This window comes from Homo sapiens, chromosome 19 (assembly GCF_000001405.40).
Source record: "Homo sapiens chromosome 19, GRCh38.p14 Primary Assembly".
Taxonomy (NCBI): domain Eukaryota; kingdom Metazoa; phylum Chordata; class Mammalia; order Primates; family Hominidae; genus Homo; species Homo sapiens.
Genome location: NC_000019.10, coordinates 8,028,934 through 8,039,899, shown reverse-complemented (window position 1 = coordinate 8,039,899; position 10,966 = coordinate 8,028,934). Strand labels below are relative to the sequence as shown.

Below are 10,966 nucleotides of genomic sequence, written 5' to 3'. Positions count from 1 at the left end.
CACCACACCTGGCTAATTTTTGTATTTTTAGGAGAGACATTTTTCCTGACCTCAAGTGATCCATCCGCCTTGGCCTCCCAAAATGCTGGGAGTATAGACGTGAGCCACCATACCTGGCCCCAAGTGTTTTTTTTGTTTTGTTTGGCTTTGTTTTAAAAAAATAAAATAAGCCTGGCCATGGTGGATTACAGCACTTTGGGAGGCCGAGGTGGGCAGATCACCTGAGGTCAGGAGTTTGAGACCAGCCTGGCCAACATGGTGAAACCCCATCTCTACCAAAAATACAAAAATTAGCTGGGCCGTGGTGGTGCATACCTGTAGTCCCAGCTACTCAGGAGGCTAAGGCAGGATAATCGCTTGAACCCGGAGGCAGAGTTTGCAGTGAGCTGAGATCATGCTACTGTACTCCAGCCTGGGCAACAGAGCAGAGTCTGTCTCAAAAAATAAATAAATAAATAAGTAAATAAATAAATAAATAAATAAATAAATAAATAAAAAGCAATGATTTTCCCTTTGTGGGTCTGGGGGTCACCTGTAGCCCCACTGGAACTTGCTCCAGGCTGTGAGTTGGATTTGCATCTGTTCCATGTGACTTTTCATTCAGAGGCTTCAGGGCCCATATTTGTTTTTTTGTTTTTGAGATGGAGTTTCATTCTTTCCCAGCCCCCCAAGTAGCTGGGATTACAGGCATCCGCCACCGTGCCCAGCTAATTTTTTTGTATTTTTAGTAGAGACAGAGTTTTACCATGGTAAGCAGGCTGGTCTCGAACTCCTGACCTCAGGTGACCCATCAGGGCCCATATTTGTTTCATGGCAAGGTGACATGCAAGCAGAGTGGCGGGACCACGTGATGCTTCCTCAGCCTTTGTCTCCGATCTGATGAGGGTCACTTCCATGCAGGTTCCATTGGCCAAAACAAGTCATATGGCCACACCCTAAGCTGGAGAATGGGGAGTGCACCCCACCCACAGGGAGCAGTGATCAGGGGAGGAAGAGAGGAAGATGTGTTGTCTTAGTCTCTTTGTGCTGATATAACAAAATGCCTGAGGCCAGGTAATCTGTCAATAATAGAAGTTTATTGCTTACAGTTCTAGAGGCTGGGAAGTCCAAGATGGAGTTACTGGAGGATTCAGTACCTGGGTGAGGGCTCATTCTCTCCTCCCAAGGTGGAGCCTTCTTGCTGCACCCTCACACAGCAGAAAGGTAAAAAGGACCTACCTGCTCCCCTTCAACCCCCCTCTCTTGCTTTTTTTAGAGACAGGGTCTTGCTATGTTGCCCAGGCTGGAGTGCAGGGGTGTGATCATAGTTCAATGTAACCTTGACTCCTGGGCTCATGCAATCATCAAGTCCTCAGCCTCCCAAGGAGCTAGGACTACAGGAGCATGCCACCACACCCAGCTAACTTTTTTGTTTTTTGCAAAGATGGGGACTTGCTGTGTTTCCCAGGCTGCTCTCAGACTTCTGGCTTCAAGCAATCCTTCCCTCCTCAGCCTCCCAAAGTGCTGGGATTTCAGGCATGAGCCACCTCACCCAGCCTTTTCTAATGAGATTAATCCCATTCATGAGGGCAGAGTTCTCATGACCTAATCATGTTCCAAAGGCTGTACCTTCTAATACTAACACCTTGGGTTTTTAGTTCCAATGTATGAATTTTGGAGGGACACATACATTTAAACAAAGGCAATTGTGAACAAATGATACCATCCACCACAGTCATGTAAAGTCCATGATGAATGTTCCTGATTGGCAGGTAGGGCTTCTCTGAGGGCTGTTTCCAGAACACAGGTCCCTTCCGTCTTCTGGCTCTGCCATCTTTAACATATAGCTCCCAAGGTCACCAGCTTGGAGAGCTTGGAGAGTGAACCACCATGTTGGCCAGGCTGGTCTTGAACTCCTAGCCTCAGGTGGTCCACCCGCCTCGGCCTCCCAAAGTGCTGGGATTACAGGCATGAGCCACTGCTCCCGGCCTGTTCCTTATTTTTTATTTATTGTTGATATTTTGAATAGTAGAAGTCAAGATGTAGCCGACTTTGAAATGCTTCCCAGCCAGGCACGGTGGCTGCCACCTGTAATCCCAGCACTTTGGGAAGCCGAGGTGGAAGGGTCACTTGAACCCAGGAGTTTGAGACCAGCCTGGGCAACACAGTGAGACTTTGTCTCTACAAAAAATTTAAAAATTAGCCAGGTGTGGTGGCACACATCTGTGATCCCAGCTACTTGGGAGGTTGAAGTAGGAGGATCACCTGAGCCTAGGAGTTCAAGACCAGCCTGAGCAACATAGCAGAACCCCATCTTTAAAAAAAAAATGAGCAGGGCATAGTTGTACACATCTGCAGTCCCAGCTACTAGGGAGGCTGAGGCAGAAGGATTGCTTGAGCCTGGAAAGTTGAGGCTGCAGTGAGCTGTGATTGCACCACTGCACTACAGCCTGGGCTACAGAACAAGACTCTGTCTCAAAAAAGAAGGAAAGAGGAAGAAAGAAAGAAAGGAAGGAAGGAAGGAAGGAAAGAGAGAGAGAGAGAAAGAGAAAGAAGGAAGGAAGGAAAGAGAGAGAAAGGAAGGAAGGAAGGGAGAGAGAAAGAAAGAAAAGAGAAAAGAGAAAGAAGAAGCTGGGCACAGTGGCTCACGCCTGTAATCCCAGCACTTTTGGAGGCTGAGGCAAGCAGATCACTTGAGGTCAGGAGTTTGAGAGCAGCCTGGCCTATATGGTGAAACCCCATCTGTGCTAAAAAATATACAAAAATTAGCCAGGTGTGGTGGTGTGCGCCTGTTGTCCCAGCTACTTGGGAGGCTGAGGCAGGAGAATTGTTGAACCCGGGAGGTAGAGGTTGCAGTGAGCTGAGATGGCACCACTGCACTCCAGCTTGGGCGACTGGGTGACAGAGCCAAAAAAAGAAAGAAAGAAGAAAGAAAGCCAAGAAGAAGGAAGAAAGGAAGGAAGGAGGGAGGAAGGGAGGGAGGGAAGGAAGGAAGGAGGAAATAAAGGAAAGGAAGGAAGGAAAAGGAAAAGAAAAGAAAAGGAAAAGGAAAAGAAAAGAAAAGGAAAGGGAACAGAACAGAACAGAATAGAAAAGGCACACTTGGAGGGAAGTGTTTCTATCTCTAGGAACTGGCCAGCCCCAGAAGGGACCGTCCGTCCCTCTCCTGGTCTTCAAAGCCCTAGATCTAAAGTATCATAAGCACAGAAAATTAAAACCACGATTCATACATCACCCTCTCTCTTCCATGACCACCTGTTGTTTTCCCTTCCCTGGTTCCACAGCTGCTCCCTCTGGCAACAGATGGATAAATGCCAGGATTGCTCTCAAGTTTCCCCCATGCCAAAGAAATCCAGCTCCCCCATCCCATCCTGCCTCATTGTCCCCTCTCTCGCCTCCTGGTCCTAAACCCCTGCACTGGCTCCCAATTTAAGCTGAACAGCCTTAGCCCCCGCTCCTTACAGCTCTCACTCTTTCAGCTGCAGAAACACGGCCCCATGAGTGTCTGTATCACAGCCTTCTTTCCATCACCTCTGACGTGAGGCTGTTTGTTCAAGGTGGTGCCCCCAGCCCTCCTTATCTCTGGCATCAGGAAGAGGCATGGTGGACCCCCGGGCTGATAGCGGAGGCCAGGGGACGCCAAGGCAACACAGCCTGATCTTCCTATTTTAGCTGCTACTGAAAGGGTTAAGGGTGCTGCATAGGGTAGGTGTCCATTTGACTGTGAATTTCCTTTCTTTTGTTTGTTTTTTTGAGACAGAGTCTCCCTCTGTTGCCCAGGGTGGAGTGCAGTGGCACGATCTCAGCTCACTGCAACCTCTGCCTCCTGGATTCAAGCAATTCACAAGCACCCGCCACCATGCCCAGCTAATTTTTTTTTTTTTTTTGAGACGGAGTCTCCTTCTGCCACACAGGCTGGAGTGCAGTGGTGCGATCTCAGCTCACCGCAACCTCTTCCTCCTGGATCCAAGGGATTGTCCTGCCTCAGCCTCCCAAGTAGCTGGGATTACAGGCGCATGCCACCACACCTGGCTAATTTTTGTATTTTAATAGAGACGGGGTTTCGCCACGTTGGCCAGGCTGGTCTCGAACTCCTAACCTTGAGTGACTTATGGAGTCAATAAAGCCCTTGGAAACTGGCCTTATATTTTGTGTATACAGTTCCTGTACAGGGTTTCTGATCTGTGGTAAGTAAAGAAGGTCATTTTCTGACAGGCCAGGAACCCCAAGTTATCTTAAAACCTCAAGAGGAGAGGAATTCACCCAACTCATAGGTATTTCATGTTACAAATCCATGGCTGGGCTTGGCTTAAACAAGTCTTATCTCAAATTCCTTCTATATAACAAAGTTCCATCAAAGCTGATTTAAAAGGCCTGTGTAGCGGCTAGGTGTGGTGGCTCATGCCTGTAATCCCAGCACTTTGGGAGGCCAAGGCAGGCAGATCACAAGGTCAGTAGTTCAAGGCCAGCCTGGCCAACATGGTGAAACCCCATCTCTACTAAAAATACAAAAAATTAGCAGGCTTGGTGGCTGGCACCTGTAATCCCTGATACTCAGGAGGGTGAGGAAGGAGAAATGCTTGAACCCAGCAGGCGGAGGTTGCAGTGAGCTGAGATTATACCATTGCACTCCAGCCTGGGTGACAGAGCAAGACTCTGTCTCGAGAAAAAGAAAAAAAGAGAAAAAAAAGGCCTATGTAGCAAATAATTATTCTTGCTGCACTCTATGCAAATAATTAAGCCAAATATAATAAAGCAAACCAGTCCTACCATGATTTATCTTTTAATAAAAATGGGAAACTGAAGAGTGAAAATTATGTTTCAGAAACTATAGCACACCTGTTGTTAAATTCTAGTCTTGCCTAATGTTTTTCAATTTTTATTATTTTCTACAGTTTAAATTATATGTGTTACAGAAATCAACTCCTGGATACATTACACTCAAAGCCTAAAGAGTGGAGAAAGCAACCCCTAACAGCCTAGAGAAAGGTCCTATCAATGTAAAAAAAAATAACAAATCTTAACCTGAAAATCATAAAAGATAAGTGGCTGGGCAAGGTGGCTCACACCTGTAATCCCAGCACTTTGGGAGGCTGAGGTGGGTGGATCACCTGAGGTCAGGAGTTTGAGACCAGCCTGAGACCAACAAGGTAAAACCCCGTTGCTACTAAAAATAGAACACCTATATGGACACCTATAATCCCAACTACTCGGGAGGCTGAGACAGGAGAATTGCTTGAACCCGGGAAGCGGAGGTTGCAGTGAGCTGAGATCACGCCACTGCACTCTAGCCTGAGCGATAGAGCAAGACTCCATCTCAAAAAAAAAAAAAAAAAAAAGATAAGTAACTAAGTGGAAATTACTCATTTCAGTCTCACCCCTACCTCACCAAATACTTTTTGTCATTTCTACATCTCCTTTTAAGCCAAATATTAAAACCTTTTTAATGGAAATTATTTACTATGCCACCCTCATGGGAATTGCTTTAGTCTACTATTTGCAGAAGGACTATATACTGTAGTACCCTCAGGGTGGAATATCGGACACAGAGTCTCAATTACCGTAGCATTTGGCTTAGTTATTATCCTCATACCAGGAATAACAGTTGCTAACAAACAAATAACACATGGGTCTTCCCAAACATGCGCCTCTGCCTGTCATTGGGAAAAAAATGTTGATTCTGTCTCAACCAATTAGGCCTAATAAGAAACGCTGCTGAAGGCCAGGCGCAGTGGCTCACGCCTGTAATTCCAACACTTTGGGAGGCCGAGGCAGACGGATCACGAGATCAGGAGATCAAGACCATCCTGGCTAAGACAGTGAAGCCCCGTCTCTGCTAAAAATACAAAAAATTAGCCGGGCGTGGTGGCGCGTGCCTGTAGTCCCAGCTACTTGGGAGGCTGGGGCAGGAGAATGGCATGAACCTGGGAGGTGGAGCTTGCAATGAGCTGAGATCGCGCCACTGCACACCAGCCTAGGCGACAGAGCGAGACTCCGTCTCAAAAGAAAAAAAAAAAAAAAAACGCTGCTGAAAAGCCTAGGACTAATGTTTTTACCCTTTATGGCCATTTCGTAGACAACTACCAAAACATCTACACACAATATTGCTCCTGCAGGCAATCCAAGACCAAAAAACTCTCCGTGTCTCCCCTCCACCCCACAACAGCAGGAAGTAGCCAGAAAGAACACGTCGCCCCTTGTCCTTTTACAACTATAGGGTCTGGAATGACAGAGCAGAAGCACTGTCATCTTGGACAAACCCCACCACTTTAAGTTCCAGCTCCCTCTCTAGCCTCTTACATTTCAAGGATATCACTTATCTTCTAACTACAAGCAGCCAGAAAGAGCAGGCAGTAAAACACAGATAAGACAGCTCGGGCACAGAGGGAAATAGGGGGAAAGTCTGTTGGGTAATTGCCAAACTTCACCCTCATACAATGGGCCCCAGTAAAACAGTGGGGCCTTACTTAATAAGCACATTCCTTTCCCTTCAGGTGCACTGAAACAGGGAAGCCAAAGGCAGACTCCCGGTGGGGGTTTTTGGGGGGCGGGTATGCCTGCAGCTGCAAGAAGATGTATGGGGACAGACACGCAACTCTCCCTCCCAGATAAGCACAACAAAGAGACACAGAAGCAGTCCAAGCCTCTGATAAACTCTCCCACCCTGAATCCTTAAAACTCTTAGTCTGGGCTGAGCTCGGTGGCTCATGCCTGTAATCCCAGTATTTTGGGAGACTGAGGTGGGCAGATCACGAGGTTCGAGACCAGCCTGGCCAACATGGTGAAACCCCGTCTCTACTAAAAAATACAAAAATTAGCCGGGCATGGTGGCACATGCCTGTAATCCCAGCTACTCAGGAGGCTGAGGCAGGAGAATAGCTTGAACCTGGGAGGCAGAGGTCGCAGTGAGCCGAGATCACGTCATTGCACTCCAGCCTGGGCAACAAGAGCGAAACTCTGTCTCAAAACAAAAACAAGAAACAAACAAACAACCCAAAAACAAAAAAACCTCTTAGTCTGTAAGAGAGTTTGCCTCTGACTCAACTTGCCTGGAATACTCCTCTCAGGTTTGTTTTCTCTAAAATAAACCTGTGTTGACTGGCAAGCCAACTTTTGTGTTTCTTTCCTCTTTATTTCTTACAGGCCTCCCAACATGCTGGGATTACAGGCGTGAGCCACTGCACCTGGCCTAACTGAAACTTAAAACACATTTTCCCGGCCGGGCTCAGTGGCTCACGCCTGTAATCCCAGCACTTTGGGAGGCTGAGGCGGGCAGATCACGAGATCAAGAGTCCAAGACCAGCCTGGCCAACATGGTGAAACCCCATCTCTACTTAAAATACAAAAATTAGCCAGGCATGGTGGCGCATGCCTGTAGTCCCACCTACTAGGGAGGCTGAGGCAGGAGGATGGCTTGAACCCAGGAGGTGGAGGTTGCAGTGAGCCAAGATCATGCCGCTGCACTCCAGCCTGGGCAACAGAGTGAGATTCTGTCTCAAAAAAAACAAAAACAAACAACAACAACAACAAAAAAAAAAAACACACAGACACATTTTCCCTTTAGCATTGCTTCTAAAATTCAAAAATGAGCTGTCCTAGGGAAAGGGAACAAGGACTGCCCTAGGACATGTTGAAGAATGTGGAAAATGTTTCATATTTAAAATGTTGATTCATTGATTGATTGAGACAGGGTCTCACTCTGTTACCCAGGGTGGAGTGCAGTGGTGTGATCATGGCTCACTGCAGTCTCAAACTCCTGGGGTCCAGTGATCCCTCTCACTTCAACCTCCCAAGTAGCTGGGATTACAGGTGTGCACCATCATGCCCAGCTAACTTTGTCATTTTTTTGTAGAGACAGGGATCTCGCTATGTTGCCCAGGCTGGTCTTGAACTCCTGAGCTAAAGCAATTCTCCTGCCTCAGCCTCCCAAAATGCTGGGATTACAGGTGTGAGTCATTGCACCTGGCAGGGAAGCATTTCAAAGTCAGCTACATCTTGACTTTGACTATTCAGAATATTTAAAAATGAATAAGTAGTAAGAAATAAAGAACAAAGGTACCATGAAACAAAGATTGGGCCCTTGGGTCTTTATAGGAATAACTTTTTCGGGGGGCAGGGATGGGGGTAGGCTCTGTCGTCCAGACTGGAGTGCAGTGGCCCGATCATAGCTCACTACAGCCTGGGAATCCCGGGCTCCTGGGCTCAAGTGATCTTCCTACCACAGCCTCCCAAAGTGCTGGGATTCCAGATATGAGCCACCAGCCTGGCCTTTTAAAACAATTATTTGGGCTGGGCATGGTGGCTCACGCCTGTAATCCCAGCACTTTGGGAGGCCAAGGCAGGCGGATTACTTGAGGTCAGGAGTTGGAGACCAGCCTGGCCAACATGGTGAGACTCTGTCTCCACTAAAAATACCAAAAAACTAGCTGGGTGTGGTAGTGCATGTCTGTAATTCCAGCTACTTGGGAGGCCGAGGCAGGAGAATCACTTGAACTCACGAGGCAGAGGTTGCAGTGAGCCAAGATCAAGCCACTGTACTCCAGCCTGGACAACAGAGAGAGAGTCCGTCTGAAAATAAATAAATTAAATAAATAAATAAATTGGAGAGAACACGAGTCACTTTGTCTGCTTCTCCACCTCCCTAACAAAGCTCTCTATGGTATAAAGCTTGAAGGAATGTGGTCCACCCAAGCCCTGACTCTGAAACCTTTTTCCATTGAGTTCTCCCATCTCCTAGGAGATGCTTGCCACGGCCAGCAGCTCTGCCGGGTTACAAAGCTCATGCCAGGAAAGGCAAATGCCAGGCCGACTGCCCGGCAGCTCTCCAGGGCTGACTCGGGGCTGCAGAGAAGAGGCTGGTATGAGTCTCTCGTGGCTGCTGAAACAAATGACCAGAAACAGAGCAGCTTAAAGCAACCCAGATTTATGATTTTACAGCACTGGAGGTCAGATGTCCTAAAATTAAGGTGTTGATGAGGCTGGTTCCTCCTGGAGGCTCCATTTTCAGCCTTTCCCAGCTTCTAGAGGTACCTACAGCTCTCATCTTGGGGCCCCTTCCTCCACCTTCACGGCCAGCAGCGCAGCCTCTTCCAGTCTCTTTCTGACTGTGACCCTCCTGCCTCCTCATTTTTTTTTTTCTGAGACAGAGTCTCACTCTATAGCCAAGGGTGGAGTGCAGTGGCTCCATCTCATCTCACTGCAACCTCTGCCCCTCGAGTTCAAGCAATTCTCCTGCCTCAGCCTCCTGAGTAGCTGGGATTACAGGCATGCTCCACCACGCCCAGCTAATTTTGATTTTTTAGTAGCAACAGGGTTTCTTCATGTTGGGCAGGCTGGTCTCGAACTCCCAACCTCAGGTGATCTGCCCGCCTCAGCCTCCCAAAGTGCTGGGATTACAGGCGTGAGCCACCAAGACCAGCATTTTTTTTTTTTTTTTTTTTTTGAGACAGGGTCTTGCTCTGTAGCCAAGGCTGGAGTGCAATGGCTCAATCTCAGCTCACTGCAACCTCTGCCCCCACTGAGTTGAAGCAATTCTCCTGCCTCAGCCTCTCAAGTAGAACTGGGACTACTGGCATGTGTCACCACGCCCGGCTAATTTTTGTATTTTTAGTAGAGTCAGGGTTTCACCTTGTTTGCCAGGCTGGTCTCAAACTCCTGGCATCAAGGGATCCATCCGCCTCGGCCTCCCAAAGTGCTGGGATTATAGGCATGAGCCACTGCACCCGGCCCCAGCTAATTTTTTTTTTTTTTTTTTTGAGACGGAGTCTTTCTCTGTCGCCAGTCTGGAGTGCAGTGGTGCGATCTCGGTTCACTGCAACTTCCACCTCCCGGGTTCAAGCAATTCTCCTCGCTCAGCCTCCAGAGTAGCTGAGATTACAGGCACGTGCCAACACGCCCAGCTAATTTTTGTATTTTTAGTAGAGACAGGGTTTCACCATCTTGGCCAGGATGGTCTCGATCTCTTGACCTTGTGATCCGCTCGCCTTGGCCTCCCAAAGTGCTGGGATTACAGGCGTGAGCCACCGCGCCCAGCCCCAGCTAATTTTTTTATTTTTTTTTGTAGAGACTGTGTCTTGCTATGTTGTCCAGGCTGGTCTCTAACTCCTAGGCTCAAGTGATCCTCCCTCCTCGGCGTCCCAAAATGTTGGGATTACAGGTGTAAGCCACCATATCTGGCCAAAGGGGCTTTATTTTACCTACCACAGCATCCGTGGGGGCCAAAATCATAAGATGGGGGGCCCACAGGACACTTCCTGAGGGAGGTGATGTGTGGGTTTAGTTCTGGAAGATTGCAGGGCTGGTGGGGGATTGTGCTATGCGGGAAGAGGATTCCAGGCTGAGAGAACAGAGTCCATAGAACAGCAGGATCCTAAATATCTACCCCAGACGCCACCTGGAAGCTCTGTTTGGGAAAGTACAGTTCTCATCTGGGGTCGATTTTTCCCCAGGGGACACCTGGCCCGTGCCTGGAGAGAGATTTGGCTGTCACCACTGGGAGGCTGGGGGGGCGGTGGGCTGCCAGAGAGCTGCTAAATAATCTAGACTGCACAGGACCGCCCCCTACCAGGAAGAATCAGCCAGCCCGCAGAGTAGCTTAGAGGGCGAGAATCCCTCTGTCCTCATCCCTCCGGACTCAGAGGGGCTTTCCACCAGGGGCAGCTGGAAGGGTTTATTGGGTGACCTTTGGCCTTTCTAACCCTGCCCCCCGCCCCCCACCCTGTCTCCCGCCTTTCTTGGGAAAAGCTGATTTTAGTTCCTGGTGACCCTTGGCCTCCTCAGGGAACACAAGCATTTGTGTGGGCTGATGGTTTCTACCTCTGGAATGTGACTGCTCCGCCTGGCCTGGGCCCTGGAGGACGAGGGATCTAAGAATAGTGACGTTTTTCCCCCCACCCCTAGGCCTGGCCCACTCTGGCCTCCAGATCCCAGGCCCCTCACTGTGCTGGAAGAGGTGGTCAGGCAGACAATGTCCGAGGGAAACGTCTGG

The 10,966-nt window shown here is 48.6% G+C and overlaps 1 annotated feature.

Moving 5' to 3' along the window:
* Positions 9,756–10,731: an enhancer, noted in NCBI's record as "H3K27ac-H3K4me1 hESC enhancer chr19:8094053-8095028 (GRCh37/hg19 assembly coordinates)". NCBI's record gives its function as "activates a minimal SCP1, AML or CMV promoter by ChIP-STARR-seq in naive H9 embryonic stem cells {active_cell/tissue: H9 hESC(naive)}" and the evidence as "EXISTENCE:reporter gene assay evidence [ECO:0000049][PMID:30033119]".